Genomic DNA, 21,325 nt, shown 5'->3' on the forward strand with positions numbered 1-21,325 from the left:
GATGAAATGTGGTATTTCTTTCAGAGACTGCCCTTATCACAAAGACATCTGCTGTGTCATTCAGTTCAATTTTAGTTGAGTTTAACAAGGCCTCTGGCCATTTAGAAAGCTGGCTCATTTGGACTCAGAGGCTACCGTGATTTTAAATTTGACCAGATACCTGGACTGGAGAAGAGCTAGAGTTTTGTTTCTAGCAAATCCATTGGGTGCCTAAGGTAGGCTGGCCAGAGAGTCTGCTCCTGGTTGAGACTGGGCCCTCCACCCCATGGGAACAGTAAACCACAGAACTTAGGCACCATCACAATTTTTTTCTGCATTCATAAATCACCTGACTACTATTAATATTCTTCATTTCTGAAGTCTTTTATTTTTCGATAATTATAGATCCACAGGAAGTTGCAAAAATAGTACAGAGAGGTCCCAGGGACCTTTCACCCAGTTTCCTCCAATGCTAACGTCTTATTTAACTATAGAAATTGCCAAACTTTTCAGAGTGACTGTCCCATTTTACATTCACATCAGCAACTGGGTCTGGGTGACCCAGTTTCTCCACATCTTTGCCAGCATTTGGTGTTGTCATTTTTAATTTTAGCCATTTTGATAAGTGTGCAGTGATATCTTATCATGGTTTTACTTTTTCATTTACCATTGAGTTTGGAAAGTTCTTTATAATATTCTGTCTGGATATTGGCCCTTTGTCAGATATGTGGTTTGTGCAGGGTCTTTTGCAGAGCAATAGTTTTAAATTTTATTTATTTATTTATTGTGGCATCTCACTCTGTCATCCAGGCTGGAGTGCAGTGGCACGATCTCAGCTCACTGCAACCTCTTCCTCCCAGGTTCAAGCAATTCTTCTGCCTCAGCCTCCCGAGTAGCTAGGATTATAGGTGCGCACCACCACACCTGGCTAATTTTTGTATTTTTAGTAGAGACGAGGTTTCACCATGTTGGCCAGGCTGGTCTTGAACTCCTGACCTCAAATAATCTGCCCACCTTGGCCTCCCAAAGTGTTGGGATTACAGGCATGAGCCATGGCACCCAGCCAGTTTTTAATTTTAATAAAGTCTAATTTATTGATTTTTTTTCTTTTATTGATTGTGTTTTTTTGTGTGACATCTAAGAAGTCTACTTTGATCTTGGGTCTCAAAGTTTTTCTCCAATTTTTTTCTCTAAAAGTTTTATAGTTTTACATGTAAATCTATGATCCATTTTGAATTACTTTTTGTATAAGGTGTGAGGTGTAGAATAGATTTTTCTTTTCTTTCTTTCATTTTTGCCTACAGAGTCCATTTGCTCCAGCACCGTTTGTTGAAAAGATTATCCTTACTCCGTTAAAATTGCTTTTGCACCTTTGTCAAAATCAGTCAAGCATATTTGTGTGGGTCTATTTCTGGGATCTTTATTCTGTTCTATTGATTTAGGTGTTTTTCTCCATTACCATGGCCCTCTCTGGATTACTGTTGCCATAGAGTGAGTCTTAAAATCAGGTAATGTGATTCCTCCAACTTTATTCTCCTTTTCAAAATACTTGAGCTATTCTAGTTCCTTTGCCTTTCCATGTAAATTTTAGAACAAAATTAATGATTTTCTTTAAATTGATGGTTACAACTTTATTTAAAAGGAAAACACATAAGTTTGCTATGTCAGCTAGAGCTGTACTGTCAAAGTCAGTTAAAATAAAAATATAACAATTATAGTTTAAAAAACTATCTGTGAACCCTGTGAAATGATCCCATGAACCCCCAGATTGGCCTGGACCCTCGTCTCCCAGCACCCCTGTGTTGGGAAGAGCACTCTGTGGTGAACGGCTGGCTCTACGTGTCTGGGGAAACTCACATGGCTTGGCCGCCTCATTCCGAGCTGGCTTAGTGGTGTCTGTGTGGCCCCACAGCAATCCTCTATGGATGGCTTGCGGCTAATGTATTGACCGAGAGGGCAAGCTCTGCCCAACTGTGAGGCTCCATATGGACTAAGTGAACCAATCAGATCCTCCCTCAACACAGTTGAGTGATGGGTAGTAGAGAGTCAGTAGTTGGCAGGGGGAATAGGGTGGAAGCTATGAAGGAGCAGAGCCATGAAGGAGTGAGGCATGAAGGAATCAGTAGACTCCCATGGAAAGAGTAACTGATTCCTCATGGTGGGAAGCACTTGAGCTGGGAGCCGTACTTCCTTTGGTCTGCCAGCAGCCTGGGAAGGATGGGAAACTAGCCAATGGGCACTGGAGCTGTCCTAGGTCCTGAACAGCCTTCTTTCCTCCGTGAAAGGCCTGAATCTGGTTTGTGTTCTCTTCTTCCCCAATACCCCCTACCCCCACATTTAAGGTAGTGTTTCCAAAGCTTGGGATTCGTAGCCGTGGAAGAGCACAAGATGACGTTAGGGTGCGCAGAACCTGGGATTAAATAACAACACATCACAGAATCAGCAAGCTACCCCCTTTCCAGTGATCTCAGCGGAATAGGTTGTTAACACCTGGTCCTTCCTAATCCCTTTTAACAAAGAGAGGTGGCCTTGGCTTTACAGCATTTGATGAGGAATGCCTCTAGCAAAAATTTCATAGTGCTTTTCTGTTTTCATTATGGTTTTTGACAGTAATTTGCCTACTCATATTTTCAGTGCCTAGCACATTGTAGAGGTTCAAACTCTCAGCCATTGAATTAATTTGATTATTTTTCATTATTCTTTGATTTTTGTCTTTTTAACCTCAACTGACTATGAACTCCTTGAAGTCAGGGACTGTGCTTTTTATTTTTATTTTTTTTAGACCACGGTCTCACTCTGTTGCCCAGGCTGGAGTGCAGTGGCACGATCATAACTCACTGCAACCTCGACCACCACCTAGGCTAAAGGGATCCTCCTGCCACAGCCTCCAGAGTAGCTGGCACCACAGATGTGCACTACCACACCTGGCTAACTTTTTAATTTTTGTAGAGATGGGGTCTCGCTCTGTTGCTCAAGCTGGACTTCAACTTCTGGCCTCAAATGATTCTCCCACCTTGGCCTCCCAAAGTGCTTAGATTACAGGTGTGAGCCACTGCACCTGGCCCTGCTTTTGTTTTTTATTTGCCATTTTGCTCCTAGGGCCTAGAAAAGTGCTCAAATACACAACCATTGCTTGTTCTGGTGAGTAAGTAGGCAGGTGGAGAAGACACAGGAAAGTTGAGTCTAACAGGCTGGGCTTGGTCTCCATGCTGATACCCAGAGGTAGCTGATGGAACTGGCTAGTGTGAGTCCCGTTCAGAGTCTATGTCAGAAACTTAGCTGGTCGTCCCTTCCTTGAAAGCCTTATTGGAAGAACAGTGAGCTGTGTACTTGTTCTTCACACAAGCCTCTCTCCCTTCCCTCCTGGGCTGGGCCTTGCCTTCACTCCAGCCATGGCAGGCCTGGCCCTACCTGGCTCTTCAGAGCTCTCACCCACCTGGGACTTCTCTGCCGTGGAAGAAAAAACCATGTCCTGGGCCTGTGGAATTGGAATTGCACCTTCGGGGTCCTTCTGGGGAGGAGGATGGGTTTCCTGATCAGAACATGGCCAGATTTTCTTCTTAAAGGCTGGATGGTTGGCCCGAGGATCAGTCTGAACTTTAACTTCACTTTCTCCTTTTCTTGGCCTCTAATAATTCAGTGTGTGCTGAGGATTGTATTGCAAGTCTGGCCAAGGATTTCTTTAAAAGAAAATCCCCAACCAGGCTGGACACATTACTGTTGTCAGCATGACCGTTAGCCTCCTTCAGAGTGAAGGTCAACAAATAATTTTCAGCTTTGTTTAAAGCCACTTTAATGGATTCTATAAAATGCTCTAATTACCAGTGATTATCCGCTGAGTGCTCGCAAGCTTTTTAAAGCTTTTCTGTGCCCATTTAACTCTGTTCACACAGAGTTCAAGTTGTCTGATGTACTTAAGCAAGAGGAGGCATTTTGTTTCTTTCTATTTCTTTTTTTTAAAATCATGTAATTTGGAGTGTTTTTAAGGCAGGCTAGCTTTCTCTTTTTTTCATCTGAAGCAGAGTTTTTACTCTGCTTTCCATCTGTTTCCATCTTGTCACCCAACAAGAAATTAAATGCCATTTAAATGATATGACAGTCGCTTCCTTACCACACACAGTAGAACATAACTGCCTTCAATGTGCACAGGATTCTCACAGGTGTCGTCTCAGTTGAGCCCCAAAGAAGGAGGCTGGAGGGGTTGCTGAGGCTGGGATTCCTCACCTTCTGCACTCCTGACATGGAAGCCTTGATCAGTTCTCTGTGGTGGAGGCGTCCTGGGCATTGTAGGGTGCTTAGCAGCATCCTTGGCTTCTACCCGCTAGAGGCCTAGCACCCTGCCCTAGTTATGACAATTAAAAATGTCCTCAGACATTACCCAATGTCCCCAGAGGGGAAAAAAAAATCACTGTTGGTTGAGAACAGTTGACTTAACCCATTTTCATATGAGGAGATGGTGACGGGAAGGGCTTGCCCGAGGCCCTACAGTTGGCGTGCTGTGGAGGGTCTGTCAGCCTCTTCTGTTGCTGCACTGATGACTCATAGAAACCCTCAAACCCAGCAGAGGCACCATTCTTTCCTCTCCTACCCCCTGTGTCAACCTCCCTGCCTCTCGTCCTGGTAGAGTCACTGCCAACATAAGTGCGTCTTTTCAGCAAATGTGTCTTCTGGAGTTGATGTGTTTCAGGCTTCTGTTCTTCTGCCTCCTAAGTTTCATGTCCTAGAGGACATCTCATTTAATTTTTATAGTGTCCAGAAGACTGTCTGGAGGGCTCTTGGGCAGGGAGGGCCTGTGAATTTGTCCCACAGTGCTTGTTCCTGTTACCTGGCCACAGGCTGCCCCCATGCACGGGCAGGAGCAGTGAGGAGTAGACCTGCTGGGGTGGGAGGGAAGATGTACTGACAGTGACCCACAGTTCTGAGAAATTATCTGTGGATGGTCCGGTTCACGCTCTGTTCATGAACCACAGCCACAGTCTCATGTTCATTGATAACCATGTGTGGCACCTTGGTTAATTCCCAGCTGATAGTGTCCTTAGATGGTGAACTTTGACCGGACCCTTTCCCCACATGTATCCTTTCTGGCCCAATCTTGCTCTCTGGCTAAAATAATTGACTTGGGTCACGTTACCATTGGGCTGAGGGACGGAAGATTGTGTGTGTGTTTGTGTGTGTCATTGTCTTTGTTAAGGGAGAGGAGGGGTCGGTCCTTTAAGGTCTTACCCTTTTTGAAAATGTTGGATTAAACAAAGTAAAACAAGATTCTTTATTGCAGGACTTCTCAGAGCCTTTACCTGGTAATGTGCTCTATGATTATTCCAGAGCAATACAGGATGCAACATTTCCCAAAGTCATTTGACCACAAGACCTCTTTTCTTTTCATGGAGTATCACATTCCACTGTGTGCATGATGTTCTGTGGGAAAAGTGTCACCTAGATGTGAAAGGACACCTCACCCCACTTTGTGTTTGGCCATTTCTAAGGTGGCTTTGAAACTAGGAAGGATGAAAGAATGTCAGATATGGAAGCCCACACCCTCTTTTGGTTTGGTGGCTCTCAGTGGCTGGATTCTGAGCAAGACCCTGGAGGAGAGAAAATCCTTCTCACATGACTGGACATTCCCAAAGCTGGGGGAGTTGGTCTGGAAGACCTGATTTCCCTGTCCATGTGAGTGGCCGTGGGAGTGGTATGGTCGGAAAAGAGGGGACCAAGGGAGCCCAGACAGAGAAATGCCCACCCTCACCCTCCTCCTCCTCAACTGAAGAGGAGAGGTGCAAGGGGAAAGAGTGCAGGAAGAGAAAGGAGAACAGAAGTTTCCATTTGTACCGGATGGTTTTGTTTTTTTATCTGTTTGCAAATGTTCAGTGTAATGGTTTGAAACCCAGCCGTGTAGCTGCCGCCGCCCACACACAGAGCTGCCGTGGCACTGAGCTTCAGCAGGCAAACCATATCACCAGCGTCGGCCATTAAACCCGAGCCCACACCAGGGCAGGCTGCACACCTACCCCCGGTGTCCCTCTGCCACCCCCGCCGCCCCAGCAACCCCGACACCCACCACCCTCCACACACACAATTTTTCTTTTTTTAAATTTCCAGCAGTCGGTTTTTCTCTAGAGAAGGCATAAAGAGAAGCAGAGGCAGAGATGGGACGAGCAGGGAGAATGCTCCTGCCTCATCGGAGCCACCGGTTTTCGGGAGAGAGCGGCAGCCCCCACCTGCCTGTGGACTGAGCACTTAAAGGTGAGAGAGGACTTTGTGATTTCTTTGTGCACCTGGAGTTCTGGGATGCAAGGCCAGATGAAGGGATCTTAATCATTGAGCCTGGTCTGTTGCCTCCCGAGTGATTCTATCAGGCAAGCATGATGGATGATTCCTTCCAAGCACACGCAGTTATCTCTGACACGAGCCCCACTCAGGTCCCCTTGAGATCTCTTGAACCAAGGGGCTTCTAGCCCCTCCTCCTCACCTTTCAGCACAGCCTTGTAAACCTCAGATGTGGATGAAGGTGCCGTCCTGCCTTTGACTTGACCTGTTGATTTCCAACCGGGGCTGCTGGCCCTTCCTCTCTAGAGTGAGTAGTGACTCACACTTTTGGGGCCCTATGAAATGGTCCTCCATCCAAGGGGCTTTGGGAAGCCTGTTTCCCTGGTGGCCCCAAGCCCAGTAACCAAAAGCAATCAGACCCAGCTGTCCAGCTAATTTTTTTAAAATAGGCTTCCTTCCTAGTAGAAATCAACAAAGTCTAAAATAGAAGGGACTCTAATAGGAAATGAAGCTGCAGAGTTCTGTGTGGAATGCAACAGGCAGGGACCTCGGCATGGAAAATACTAAGTGCAGATTACATGGCTGACAACCATGGGAGCAGGAGAAGGAGTAATCTCCTTGCTTATCGAGCATGTCTCTGGGTCGGAGGGGAGCTGAGTGGGGACATCGCTTCTGGAAGGTTTAGACCTTTCACCAAGAAGGAGAGGAAAAAGGAAGAACAACAAAGATGGAGAAAAGGGGGAAAAGAGGCCGTAATGTAATGTACATGTAGAAGAGAAGCAGACAAAAAGCTCCAAATTCTGTGCAGTCAGGGGATGAATCAGTTAGTAAAGATCTATTTTTAGTTTCCAAGATCTGCTGTTACATTTTGCCTGGCATTAATTAATGTCACAGGCATGTTCCATGCACAGGCTCTGAAGGGCCCTCGCGTGTCACTCTAGCTGGAGGTACCAGCCCTTCTTAATGGGAGCTCTCCAGTCCTTTGGGGTCTGGTCTCTGACACAAACATGTGTCCAGAATGTTCTGCTCTCTGACCTTGTCCCCTCTGGGTGTATCCGTTAATCTCCTCACTCTGGCCCTTGGATGTCTGGCCAGTGGCCAAGGGAGAATTGCAATTGTTATACTTTGTTTTTTAAAAGGAAAGGCTGTACAAGCTGAAATTGGGAAAAGGCAAAGATGTTGGATCATGGCTTAGAATTTAAAGAAAAGGCTTTGAGGGCAGCTCTCCTACCACAAGGAAGAATGAGGCCCCCCTCATCTCCAAACAAGGCTGATTTTGACTAATCAGATATCATAACTGGAGAACATCTTCCAATATAGTTTAGGCAAAGTGTAATATGTTAGCAAGAACTAATGATATGACTGGGGTTGATCAGATGTTGGCTGAAGTTGTGTGTGAGACTAATTATCTCCAAAAAACCTGTTCATATTTCAGAGGCGAGGCTGTAAATCTGAAGAGCAGCTGAAATGCAGGCATGATTGTACGCATGAAGCCTTGCTTTCTGAGGTGGTAAAAGGGGGGATTACAGGCCAGAATGAAAAACCCAAGGCCACGTGGCAGCACACTGTTGGGACAGCTGTTTTTGTACATTTGCACCAATTATTAGATCAATAAGAAAGTATGACTACATCATGGACCCTAATTAGAAGAGACGTCCCTTATACTCTCTGAAATGCTTGAGAATGTTCTCCTACTAACCTAGAGCCTGATGGGGCCATTGACGCTAATTGTTAAGTGCCGTTGGTCAAGGCCAATGCATAGTCTTCGTTTAGTTCCTAAGTCATTTGTGGTCGGCCCATCCAAGACAGGGACACGGACAATCTCATCAGAGTAGGCTGGGAGGGTTTCCATGATGGAATGGGGCTGGCCTCTCTGTTGAGGGGGGATATCCAAGGGGTGCACATGAGCTCTGAGGACCAGTGGCAAAGTCCCTGTTCAGTCCTTGGGAAGCATCACCACTGCTACATTTCTGATGTTCTGAAGATGGGTTAGAACAGAGCGGCCGGGCGCGGTGGCTCACGCCTGTAATCCCAGCACTTTGGGAGGCCGAGACGGGCAGATCACGAGGTCAGGAGATCGAGACCATCCTGGCTAACACGGTGAAACCCCGTCTCTACTAAAAATACAAAAATTAGCCGGGCATGGTGGCGCGCGCCTGTAGTCCCAGCTACACGGGAGGCTGAGGCAGGAGAATGGCGTGAACCCGGGAGGTGGAGCTTGCAGTGAGTCGAGATCGCGCCACTGCACTCCAGCCTGGGCGACAGAGCGAAACTCCGTCTCAAAAAAAAAAAAAAAAAAAAAAAAAAAAAAAAAAAAAAAAAAAAAGAACAGAGCGTGAGAGCAAGCAGGGTGCTGACTCTGGGTCTCATGTCTTGAGGCTCAATTCCATCCTGTCACCCAGCCAGGAGATTCAGAGGTCCTGCAGCCTCCTACCTCAGACCCACATACCTGGTGTGAGTTCTGCCCTCCTGACCACAACACCCCTGCACCTTGGACACAGCTTACCACATCCTTCCCCAGAGCATCTTGTGCCTTGGAGAGCAGGTGCAGTTGCAGCGTTCTGGGCTGCGGGCACTCGAGTTCAGCCCTGGCCAGAGGCTGTGAGGGGCAGAGCCAGGGGATGGTGTCTCCATTGGTAACGAGGGTCTCCATCCCTTCCAGGCTGGCCGTGTCTGTGGCCACAGATGAATAGGATGGGTGCCCATCTTGATGGGTCAGACAAGGTAAGGGCTCTCAGACCCCATCCTCTGTTTGAGATCAGACCAGAGGTGCCATCAGAAAATCAACTGAAGATTAACCAGCTTCCTCTGGTGCTCAAAACCTAGACTCCCTTTGCTGCTTTGCAATTTCTTTCTGTGTGTGGAGGTCTGATAAGCCAGACGAGATGAAGGGATGTTAATCCTTGGGCCCAGTCTCAATGGCAAACTTCCAATTAAAGAAGATGTGACTGTGGCCTGGGGCTGTGCCAAAGAAGGGCTTTGCTTATGTCTCTTTGTCTAATCTCTGTAATGGCCCCATGTGGTTGGCGCCTTCCCCAATACCATTTTATGGAGGAAGAAACGGAGTCTTATACATTTCATTTTACTTTTTGCATTGTATCTTAAAGATATAAAACTTTAACCTTATACTCCATAATATATCTATTGATCTTACTATAAAATAAGATCTCCCTCCTCCAAAAAAAATCGTGAAGGAAAAGGGTTCCCTCCTGAGTGAGCGCCAAAAGCCTGGGCTTGGCCTGTCGGAGAGAGAGGCTGCAGAGCCCCTGTATGGAGAGCAGACACCATCCACAGGGCCCCCAACACATGTTTCATGCCTGAGCCTTGTCCCTGTGATGTTGACACTGTGTGGATGGCGGGGCTGGAACTTGCCCTGAGGGCCCCAGGGAATCCGGCAAGGCCCAGTCTCCACTGCCTTTTTCTGTGGAATGTTCCAGCTGGCCGGTGTGCACAGGGAAATCTGAGCCGAGGCCCTGAGGGGGGCTGTCGTCCCACACAGGGCTAAGGCTCTCCAGGGAGCCTCAATGGCTGGACCCCCATCCAACGCCAGCGCCAGCCCCCTTTGCCCCGCCATGGCCCGCCTTTTCCTCTGTGACCTGCTACGGGCCTCACATCCTGAGAGGAGCCCTAGAAACGGGCTCTGTTGATAAAAACACACATACCCTTTGCCACAGGAAACGTGGCCTCACGTTCACAATGGTAACCACCAGGCTCCTCACAGAAACCAAAGAGGAACAGATTTTAGATTTTTACCTCAATTAGGAAACACATGTTCTCTCTCTCTCCTTCCCTCCCTCTCTCCTCTCAGCAAGTCTCAATTTTCCTCACATGCAACCTCTGCCCTCCCTATCCTAGATTGGGAAGCTGCACATTTAGGAAACAGAGACCGTGTTCCTTTGAGTTTAGGTAAAAACTGTGAGAAAACAGGATATAAGTCGTAATGGAAACCAGTGGACCTCGGGTCACAGGTAGGGTTGTCAGATAAAATACAGGATGCCCAGTTAAAATGGGAATTTCAGGTGAACAATGAATACTTTGTTAGTATAAGCGTGTCCCAAAGCCTGCACAGGATATACTTAAACTAAAATATTTATTATTTCTTCGAAATTCAAATTTAAGTAGGCAATCCTGTATTTTTATAGATCATCTATGAATAGTAACCATAGCATAGGGGACCCACCGTATGAGACTCAGAACCATCATCTGGGAGGAACGTTGAGGCAAACTTCTCCATCCAGATTAATTCCTGACCTTCTGAGAATAACAAACAGCCCACTATGCTGTGGCCAGTACTCCGCGCCAGCACACGCTGTCATTTTGTGGGCAAGGAGCTCTCCTTGAGTCTGCCCAACGGAGGTGTGTAGTGATTTGTTGTCCAGGAGAGAAACAGAGGCTCAGGGAGGTTGGTGTGGCGCACCCGAACGCTCAGTCAGCTCCTGGCCTGTCTCTCTGCATAGTACTCGCTGGCTGTGGGCGGGCGGGCCGTGCCAGCTTCAGAGGAGCAGTAATAACAGGTTAGCTTGGAAGTTCTCCTTGCAGAGATGGGAACGGCTGTGTCAACCATGCAAATTATATACAAATACACTTGGCCCGCCTGCCCAGATGGGAGACCCATGAGCACAGCCTCCAGCCGTCCATGGGTTTCCGATAGTGCAGGGGTACCGGGCTGATAGCGGCTGGGTCTCTGGAGAGGCCCATGTTCCCGGTACATGTGGGCTGGGACACATGCACACACTTACTTTCCTGGTGTGGATGAAGATGCGAGGGGGCTAGCATGGAGGTGGATGCCTAAGGCTGGAGGGGGTGTGTTGATGTGTGCATGACCTGCCACCCTGATCTGTGTATTCCCAGCAAGCCACATGGCTTCTGTCTCCTGGGATAACCCTTCCTGAGGCTCCAGCACCCATCTCTGGACAGAAGGAAATGGCCCTTTCCCTGGGCACCCTCCTGCTGAGATGCCACAGGACTGCAGACCTTTGAGGAGAATAATCCTAACCACAGTGATGCTACTGTGAGCGTTGACCAGGTGTTTATGATACACCCGACCCTGTGCTAGCATCTTGTGCTTAATTCTCCCATGTGCCTGGGGCTCTTGTTGCCCTGACTTGACAGATGAAAACCTCGAGGCTTAGAAAGGTAAAATAACTTGGCCACAACTGGTGAGATACCGAGCCAAGATTCCACCTGAGTTCTGCAGGCCGGTCAGGTGAATCGCTGCCAGGTGAATGAGGGATGGCTTTCAACACCAGCTCCTGGGCGTGGACTTTCTGAAGAGAGCACTGTTTTGAAAAGTCCTTTATGGAGATTTGTAGTAGTTTTAGCTAAGATTGTTTTGTATTTGCGCTCTTAGAGTTAGTAGGTTTGCCTCAAATACTGGTGCCGGCTGAGCCCCATGTATTGGAGATGTTCTCCACGAGGGAACGCTGAACCTTCGGGAGACCCATAGGAGGTGGCTGCCCAGCCCCTCTGTCTAGCGATGCTGCAAGGGGAAGGTGTACACCAAAGGCAGGGCTTGATTGAATGGTTGAACATGCTGGTGTGGGGGCCATATAGCCTCAGCCACAGGTTGTCTTTGCCAGTCTCTGGCTGAGTGGTTTGGGGCGAGCTGCCTCACCACTATCAACCTCCTTTCCTCATCTGTTAAGTAATATTTGTAATGACAGCACCTCCCTCACACCCCAGCTTGGAGGTTTCACTAGTCTGTTGCCTGATCAATCATAATAGTTATTAGTCATTGCTGTTTGCCAGGTACCAGCTTAGGTGCTAGAAAGAGCTAGTAATGAGAAAAAAAGTACAGCGCTCACTTTTGAAGATCTTAGGAGTCCAGAGAGCTAAGCTAAATCCACTACAATGTAAGACAGGCATAAATTCACCTAAAAGTGTCACAGGGACTCTGCTGCTGAGGTTCGGGAGTGGGAGATCACCACTTACAGGGGGTTGGGGGTTTCCAGAGGCCTTGGTTGAGGAGGCAGCGAGTAGGTGGACAGGTGGATTTTGGGTTTGTGGATCAAGAGAAGGAAGGGAATTCCTGGCTGAGGAACAGCATAAGCAAAGTGTGGAGGAGAGCCTGGGGGCCTTTGGTTTGATTGGAGGGTGCACGCATCCATCCGTGCATGCCGGGGCAGTGGGCTTGGAGCTGGCGAATAGGGTACAAAGTCCCTGCTCTTTTGGGGATTGCAACGTTAAGCAAGTAATGATACATTTAATTTTTTAATTGCAGCTGTGATGAACTCTGGGGAATCTGAGCTGCTCAGGGAGCAGGTGCCCGAGGCTTCCCTGAGGGCATAAGTGAAGCTTGAGTAGGAGGCAGTAGGGAATGGAAAGAGCACTTCAGGCCTTGAGTACAGCTCCCTTGGGGCCCCTGACATGGGCCAGCATCCAAGGAGCCAAAAGGCCAGTATGTGGCTGTGCTGCAGGCAACCAGAAGTGGGGCTTGGGAAGTGGCTGAGGAAGTGGGCAGAGGCTGGCCTACATGGGCCCTGCTAGGTGGAGGACATTACTTTGTTCCAAGAGTGACGAGGCTACTACAAGGTTTTAGCTAGAGTGGGGATGTGTGGGTGGACTTCTGTGTTTAAAAAAGATCCCTCTGCTGGTGGTGGAGAAGGCTTTGCATGTAGCAGGGGTGAAGGTGAAGGGAGGAAACTGGACTTTGGCCAGCTCTGGACTGTACAACTTGACCAAAATCCCACTTTGCCATCGCCACCATCCTCAGTCCAACAGACTCAACAACTCACTCTTTCCCACCTGAGCAGTGTCTCATACAGTCCCTGTTCCTGAGCTCAGCACCCACCTGATTTTCCCACCACCCTTGCTGCCGAGCACACGTGCATTGGCCCCCAGCCCGCATGCTCTGTGTTCTTCCCAACAGAGCCAAATCCTGTGGAACTGGACCCGGAGAGAACAGGAAGGAGTCAACAAGATCTTAAGCCTGCTCCAGACCCCTTGCCTGACTTTTGAGAAGGTCAGGGCCCGATTTCTGTTTGTCCCTCCTCCCTGGGCTGGGCGCATCTTCCTGGGACAGCCTCCCCCTGGGAGCGGAAGGCTTGGCAGGAGCAGTGGATTGCCTCATTGAGGGAGTGAGTGCCAAGGCACACAGGGCCAAGCGCTTATTCGTGCTGGAAGCTGCCCTGGCAGCCTGGGTGCCCCGCTGCCAAGAGCTGATTGGAAGGCTGGACGGACATGTTCAATGGTTCCGGGGGCTCACCAGCACACCCTATGAAGGGCAAATGTGGTTGGGGGCTGGTGACCCCATCAAGCTGAACTCCAGGAGGTCAAGGACAGGGCAGGAGGAGGCTTTGGCCAGCATAGTCTTGGAGAGGGAATTACTGTCCTGCTACTTTGTACTGTAGCAAACTCTTTGAAAAAGCCACAAGCAATTTTTGCTCTCCCAAAATAGCTGAGAGATTCCATTGGACAATTGCTTACCAAGTACCTAATTGGAGCTGGGCTAAGAAAGAGAAATTTTCATCTACTCCTTCAAGGAGCACATGGTCTGATGAGAAAGCCTGACGTATAAACCAGTCATTACAGGGCATTGTCCTGTTCAGGTGGTGAGGAGTGACTATGGTGGCACAGGACCCTAGAGGTGGTGGAGACTCCTGCAGCCTGGTGGGTTGGTCATGCTTCACAGAGGATGCTAGAAAGAGCTAGTCATAAAAAAAGTGCAGCTCTCACTTTTGAAGATCTTAGAGTCCAGAGAGCTAAGCTAAATCCACTACAATGTGAGACGAGCCAAGATTCACCTAAAAGTGTCACAGGGACCCTGCTGCTGAGGTTTGGCAGTGGGGAGATCACTTCTTGCAGTGGGTTGGGAGAGCCAGATTTGGTTTTCCCATGTAGGATTGGGGAAAGACATACATGCAGAGACTAAGTGCTTCTCCAAGAATGCACACATGCTCATTCACAAGTGTTAGTAACCCACGTAGAAGGTACACATAACCGTGTTGGGACAGGACCCAGGTGGTGCGGTCCCAGAGCAGTGAGCAGAAAGCACCATGAGAACTCAAGCTCTCTGCTCGAACCCTGTGAAGCCGAAGCGGTCTCTACCCCAATCCCCTGCGATTGGTACCTCCTTTTCCTTCCACTTTCCTCCCATCCTGCAGCAACTCCAGTGTCCCTCTTCTTCAGACTCCATGAGGAGTTCCTCCTTTTGCATTGCCCTTGCTGCTTCTCTTAATGACTTTCTCTCGGAGACAAGTCCTATGCCACTTGGAACAAAACTTCTCCTGTGGCCTAAGCTCTATGTCATCTGTCCCCGGCATGCTGCCTGGCTTCTCTCCTCGCTCTGCCCACTTTGTGGGGACCCTGACAACTCATGAGCCTTCTGCTGGTTTCTGCATTGCAGGGAAGAGTGCCCATTTAGCGCCTTGGCACTCACCGCACCGTCTTTTGCCCTTTGCCCTCAGATGTGCCTGGGGCTGAATCTTTCTTATCTCCCAGGTCTGTCTTCATAGACGGCCTCCTACCCCTCCCCTGTGACTCATCATACCACTCTATTCCTTTTCCTTCATTGTGATTTTCTCTAAAATCACTTCACTCATGTACATATTTTCCTATTTATACCCGTCTCTCACACTGAAATGTCAGTCCCATGACGGCAAGGGGGCCGCTTTCTTATTCTCCCCTGATCTTACAGCCGTGAATGAAACTTGGGATGTGCTGGGGAGTCAGTCAGTATTTGCTGGACAAGTAACTTGAATACAGTTTCCCTGACACCTGGGAGGGATAATGTCTTCCTCTTTCATAGCTTTTTTTTCATTACAATCTGCCTGTTTGGCTTTTGTCATTGTTTCCCAGTTATCTTGATTATACATCATACAAAAGACTATAGAACAGTCTAGTAAAGGCAAAACCTCTCAGAAGTAGGAGGAAGGGAAGGAAGAGATTGGACAAAGTCAGAACACTTGTTAGCAGGCAGGAAAGCAGGCAAGGCTGGGCACATGAATGCACTAATATTTTTGTCTGTGTGCAGCTGTGTCTCTGTCTGCACATACATGCCTAGAGCACCCTGATGTGAATGGGAGCAGCTGGGATTTGGTGTTTTGGGTGACTGGCTGGGCTCTGGTGAGAGGTGGGTTTGTTCCCATCTTGCTCATTAGCTGGTCAACTTTTCTTGCTCTGTGATCTTTAGAATGAGGGGGTAGCAAATTGGTTTTAGCTCAGGTGCTAAATCTTACTGGGAATGATTGCCTTGGAAGTCCAGGTAAAGCTGGCTTCCGCTGCCCAGCGCAGCAGGGAGGAGTGCTGGGGCCAGGCCGCACTGTCTACCCTGAGTGTAGGAAGGAGAGAAGGGGCACCGTATTGTGATGTGGCTGCATTAGATAATCCCTGAAGCACTGTTGGCTCTAAAATTCCAAAAGTCTCCCCTCCTTTGGGAATGGTAAGAGATGGGTTGGAGACCCTGAGTGAAAGGAACAATTCTCCTCCTCTGGGAAGACTTCATCTTCAGAGTCTGGCCTTGAGACACGTGCCAGAAAGCCCCTCCTAGAGAGGAAGGAGTAGGGTCCACCCAAAGGTACATGATGAGTTGTGTGCTCCCCCTCATGCTCAACCGAAGACTAAAGAGGAAGAAGTAGGGTCCACCTAAAGGGTACATGATGAGTTGTGTGCTCCCCCTCATGCTCAACCGAAGACTGAAATTCCCAGCGCTTAGAAGCAAGTCCCGTAAAAAGCTGTATGTATTTAACATACACTGTATGACTTTAGGGATAAGTATGCACCTGTGAGACCATCAGCACCATTAAGGCCGTAGACATATTCACCTCCCAAAGTTTCCTCTCGCCTCCTTTATTATTATCTGTGGCCAGAAAACATAACCTATGATCTACTGTCTTAGAAAATTTTAAGTACGTGGGCTGACTGCAATGGCTCCCGCCTGTAATCCCAGGGAGGCTGAGGCGAGCGGATCACCTGAGGTCAGGAGTCTGAGACCAGCCTGGCCAACGTGGTGAAACCTTGTCTCTACTAAAATAGAAAAAATTAGCCAGGCTTGGTGGTGGGAGCCTGTAAACCCAGCTACTCGGGAGGCTGAGGCAGGAGAATGGCTTGAACCCAGGAGGTGGAGGTTGCAGTAAGCCGAGATTGCACCACTGCACTCCAGCCTGGGCGACAGGGTGAGACTCTGTCTCAAAAATAAATAAATAAATAAATAATAGAAAAGAAAGAAAATGTTAAATAGGCAAAACGGACACTCTGCTGTGTACTAGGCCTCCAGAACTTAGCCATCTCGCATAACTGAAACTTTGTAGCCTTTGACCCTCACCTTCCCCATTTCTCCTCCCCTACTCCCTGGTGATCACCGCTGGACTCTCCGCTTCTATAAGTTTGACTGTTTTAGATTCCACATAGAAGTGACATCAGATAGTATTTTTCTTTCTCTGCCTGGCTTATTTCACTGAGAATAACGTCCTCTGGGCCCCTCTGTGTTGTTGCAAAGGCAGAATTCTTAAAAGGTGGAATAAACATCTCAACTAAATATTTTTTTAAAAAGAAGAAAGAACTTTAAAACCATTCTTTAAAATTTTATTTTAATTTTTTACTTTTTATGGGCACATGGTAGGTGTATATATTTATGGGATACGTGGGATATTTGGATACAGGCATGCAGTGTTTAATAACCACATCAGGGTAAATGGTGCATCCATCACCTCAAGCATTTATCATCTCTTTGTGTTATAAACATTCTGATTATACTCTTTTAATTTTTAAATGTGCTATAAATTATTGTTGACTGTAGTCATCCTGTTGTGCTATCAAATTCTAGCTTATTCATTCTAACTATAGTTTTGTACCCATTAACCATCCCCACTTTCCCGCCCACTCCCCTACCCTCTTATCTCTGTGAGTTCAATTGTTTTAATTTTTACCTCCCACAAATGAGCGAGAAAGAAGAAAACAAAATTAAAAACTAAAATGAAAACAAGTCCTACTGAAAGTGTGGGGGCGGATCCGTGTGCTAAGGGAAGAGGGAAATGAGGCTAGGCTCACTCTTTCCTCCGGCTGTGGATGGGATTCTGAACTCTGGCTTGGGAGGCGAATTGGGTGGCTTATCATTTGAGAGCCCTGCCACCTTCCAAAAAGGATTTGAGGGGACTTACAGTGAGAACATACTCAGAGGATAGACAGTGAGAAATAAAACCAGAGTGAAAGGTCATAGGCCACCAAAAGGAAGAGAAAACCAAACCCTGGGAAGGGCCAGGGTCTCTCAGACCAGGACTTGGATTCAAGGAACAGTCATCATTTGGTTTCATAAGGACAAAGGATTCTTGGCTTGGAGAAGAGTTGGCAGAGGCTAATATACAAATCTGTGTTTAAATCTGTTTATTGAAATGTTTAAACATATTGTTTTTGTAAATACATCCAACAGACACTGATTAGCCAGCCCCCCAAGTGATGGGTGTGGCAGGGTCCCAGCCCTGCCATTTTGTTCCCCATCTGGGCCAGTAAACTCTTCCCTTTAAAAAAACAAATAAGAAAGCAAACTCCTTACATAAGAAACTTCTGGGGCTGCAAGGAGGGGGAACCAGCTTTTCTTGTTGTAGCTGAAATATAAACATTTTTTCTTTCTGGTCCTGAAAAATTAATCTACAAAAACAGTGGGTGACACCAAAGAAATCACTTCAGGTGCTGGAAATGATTTCATTTTCTCACTCTATGATTAAAAGTCGGTAGCCAAGTGCTCAGGAGCCACATCACATCTTCCTAAGCAGGAATGTACCACACCCTGCTCTCCTCTGGCTTTGCTTCTGTTCCTCAGGCGCTTTCATTATCTGTGATGCAGTGAGACTGGCCCGTGGCGACAGGGAGCTGCAGAAGGCGATTACTCCGGGGGAGCATTGGGCACTGAGAGGTTGTGTGCCTTTCCCCCAGGACCCAACAGTCACAGCCTGGCGTGCGCAGGAAGCCAGCTTGATGGAGCCATCTCCGTCAATGTGACGGGAGCATTTCCAGAAAGGGTCCAGGGGGCATTTATTTCCAAACAGTCTGTGCTGCACAGGGAGAGGGGACGAGGCAACAGGTCAGCAGAGGTGAGGGGAGGACAGGATGCAGGGAACTTGTTTGTGGGTCAGGAGGACATTGTCTTGGCAAAGTTCTGCCCACTCTGTGCCCACTGAACCACAGGTGATGGTGACGTGGATTGTCTGTTTTCTCTTTCTCACTTAGCCTTCCCTGGAGGAGTTTGGGCTGGAGAGATCAACCCAAACCCAGGCCATCCCTTTTGTTCAAAGTATCAGACCATTCAGACCTGCAGTCAGCCCATTTCCCAAAGGCTGGTATGCACCCCCTGGGGACACTTTTGTTTGGTTTTTAACTTTTTACCTCATTTATTTGACATTAGGAGGGACTTTTTCTTTTTAATAAACTTTTTATTTTGGAATCGTTTGAGATGTACAGAAAAGCTGCACAGTTAGCACAGAAATTCCCACATCCCTTCAGCCAGTGAACCCCCACCCCGCAGCATCTTACATGCGCACGGGGCATTTGTCATGACTAAGAAACGCAGGTGGGTACATTCCTATGAAGTAAACTCCAGACTTTATGTGCACGTCACCAGTCTGTCAACTGATGTCTCTTTCTGTTCCAGGATCCAAGCCAGGGTGGGTGGTGATTTTTCATATAACTTTTTTCAAGTGCCATAATTATGGAGTTATTTTAATGAATATTACAAAAAATATCACATCAATTATTATAGCTTGGGACAAATTAAATGATAAAAGCAAGTCAATTTGAAGAGGTGTGTTATGAAAATAAATACAGATGACTTGTGGTACAGCCCTTTACTTCACAGACCCACCAAGAAGCTCAGGCTTGCTTAACACCAAGCAAATCCCTAACAAAGTCCTGGTGGGGCTGAGATAAGGACTAGCAACCCAGTACCCCTTCCATGGCCCAACAGCGCCCCTCTCCCTGTTTGGATGCTGCAGAAGGGAGGAAGGAGGTGGAGAGGAGAGGAACTCTCAGTGGGAATAAAGTTTCCTTTTCAATTATTCAGCTGATCCTTGACCCCCATTACCATGGATAATCAAAAACGGGGTGGATGCATCATGCCTTAAATAAAAACATCGCTGAGGTGGCCCTGAGGATGTGCAAGCAGATAATTGCATGGGGTGTTCATCCAATGACACTCCAGGGGGAGGTACTTTCCTATATGCACGGAGATGAGAGCGGTGGCCCTCAGCACAATGTCGCACATCTGAGGAGTGTTACTTCCTGAGGGGGGCTCCTCAGGTTCAGCTTCCTGTTCCCTCGCACAGGGCTGGTGATGATCAACCTCTTCTGACAATGGAGAGAGCATGCGGTGGATGTTAGGGGAACCAAACCCCAAGAGGGAACCAGCTTCAGTGGAAAGCGGAGTGCGTGCCTCCCCGAGGCAGGGCATTGCTGAGCCCCAGAGAGGAGCCCTGGGTTCCGCTGCCTCCCCCACAGGACAAGGCATGACAGCACCTGCATTGGAATATAGACTGTGCTTTGGAGCCTTTGGCATCAGCTTCCACCTGGTGCGTAAGTCTGTGGTCTCTCCAGCAAGTTCAGGGAAGTGAGGGAGTCGCAGTTCTCTGTCATTCAGCAGGTGTGGACTGAGGGCTGGCTCTGTGCCAGGCCCTGTGCTGGATGCTGGGTTCCATTGTGAGGCCAGGCACAGCCAAGGCAGAGACGAACATTCCTACAGTCGCTCACGACACCAAGCTCCACAGACCAGAGAATGGACGGATCCACAGGAACGAAAGACAGGCTGTCAGGTGCCCAGCCCTGGGGAGACTCCAGAAGAGGAGAGAGGACCACCCATCATGGCTGACCTTGGGAGGACTTGGGTCTTCACAAATTGTGTTCCTTGGTATATATAAGAGGGTTAAAATAGACACAAGAAATATCCATCTATTCCCATTCATTTATTTGACACATACTCTTGGGGCCATGAGTTCAATTCCCAGAAGAGGATCATGATGGTGGGGGGAGGAAGGATGTGGCGAGGGGCCGTGCAGGAGCCCAGGGGGCTTGTCTCATGGACGCTCTTGATCGAATTCCTCTGAGGCCCCAGAGGTGCTCCTTCATCCCCAGCTTGCTTGTGAGGCTGCGTTGGCTCCCCAAGGCCGAGTTTCCTGCTGAGACCCAGCCACACACTTAGCCCTGAGTGTACCAGGTGGCTCCACTCAGAGCGCTGCTCCAGCCCCTCTCCCTGGGGCTTCCTGCCACGTGACTGCACATTTGGGGTCTGGAGAAGGGCCCAGGGACTGAACTGCAAAGGTGAAGGGTGTCCCTGCTCCTCCTGACCACAGCTTCTGGACTGGCATGTGTGTCTGATGGTGCAAGACCAGAGGGGCATGGCCAATGAGAGAGTTATTCTTTCTACCCGTGAGTCTCCCTCGGACACACAGGATTTCTCATGTCTCCTCCTGGTTTTGCTGCTTTTTTTTTTTTTTTCTAGCTGCATGAGGTAGTTTTGTTTGAAAGAATAGTCAATGCAGACTGCAGTTTTCCGAATGAGGCTTGCTCTTGGCAAGTGAGTGAGATATCTTTGTGTTTGTTTGTTTCCTTCAGAAAAAAGGGCCTGAGAAAGCAAGTTAACAATTCTTTGGAAATGATTTTTCTTTTTCTTTGGTGACTGTTGCCACATGCTTAGTTCATTGGTTATTGGTTGCATGCTCTGGAGAGTCTATCTGTACCATGGTGCTTAGAAAAATTAGAATGGGAGTGATGGATTTATTTGTTATATTGAATTGATATAACTCACATACCATGCAATTCACCCTTTTAAAGTGTCGGATTCAGTGGCTTCTAGTATATTCACAAGGTTGTGCAACCATCACTGTGATCTAATTCCAGAACATTTTCAACACCCCCAAAGAAACCCCATACATTACAGTCACTCTCACTGTCTTTGTTTTTTTTTGTTTTTTTTTGAGATGGAGTCCCGCTCTGTAGTCCGGGCTGGAGTGCAGTGGCATGATCTCAGCTTGCTGCAACCTCTGGCTCCTGGGTTCAAGCTATTATCCTGCCTCAGCCTCCTGAGTACCTGGGACTACAGGTGTGCACCACCACACCCGGCTAATTTTTTGTATTTTTAGTAGAAATGGGGTTTCACCAT

The 21,325-nt window shown here is 48.0% G+C and overlaps 1 protein-coding gene across 6 annotated transcripts in view, besides 2 other annotated features; it reads left to right on the forward strand.

The window, feature by feature from the left end:
- The window catches only part of ZNF831 (zinc finger protein 831), a 135,726-nt gene that overhangs the window by 16,768 nt on the left and 97,633 nt on the right, over nt 1-21,325 (forward strand). For 2 of the 6 annotated variants that reach the window (XM_047439880.1, XM_011528540.3), the window contains exons 1-2: nt 5,885-6,219; nt 19,235-20,740. The gene's annotated coding sequence lies outside the window, so the exon portion shown is untranslated. Of the gene's footprint in view, nt 1-5,884; nt 6,220-19,234; nt 20,741-21,325 lie in introns of those variants that run through there. The other 4 variants (XM_047439881.1, NM_001384354.1, XM_011528534.3 and 1 more) reach the window with 4 other exon arrangements.
- Nucleotides 9,757-9,979: a silencer, noted in NCBI's record as "fragment chr20:57724967-57725189 (GRCh37/hg19 assembly coordinates)". NCBI's record gives its function as "represses an EF-1alpha promoter that drives an FKBP-Casp9 reporter gene in an ReSE screen in HepG2 liver carcinoma cells {active_cell/tissue: HepG2}" and the evidence as "EXISTENCE:reporter gene assay evidence [ECO:0000049][PMID:32094911]".
- Nucleotides 19,191-20,016: an enhancer, noted in NCBI's record as "H3K4me1 hESC enhancer chr20:57734401-57735226 (GRCh37/hg19 assembly coordinates)". NCBI's record gives its function as "activates a minimal SCP1, AML or CMV promoter by ChIP-STARR-seq in naive H9 embryonic stem cells {active_cell/tissue: H9 hESC(naive)}" and the evidence as "EXISTENCE:reporter gene assay evidence [ECO:0000049][PMID:30033119]".

The sequence above is a fragment of the Homo sapiens genome, chromosome 20 (assembly GCF_000001405.40).
Source record: "Homo sapiens chromosome 20, GRCh38.p14 Primary Assembly".
In the NCBI taxonomy this organism is placed as follows: Eukaryota; Metazoa; Chordata; class Mammalia; order Primates; family Hominidae; genus Homo; species Homo sapiens.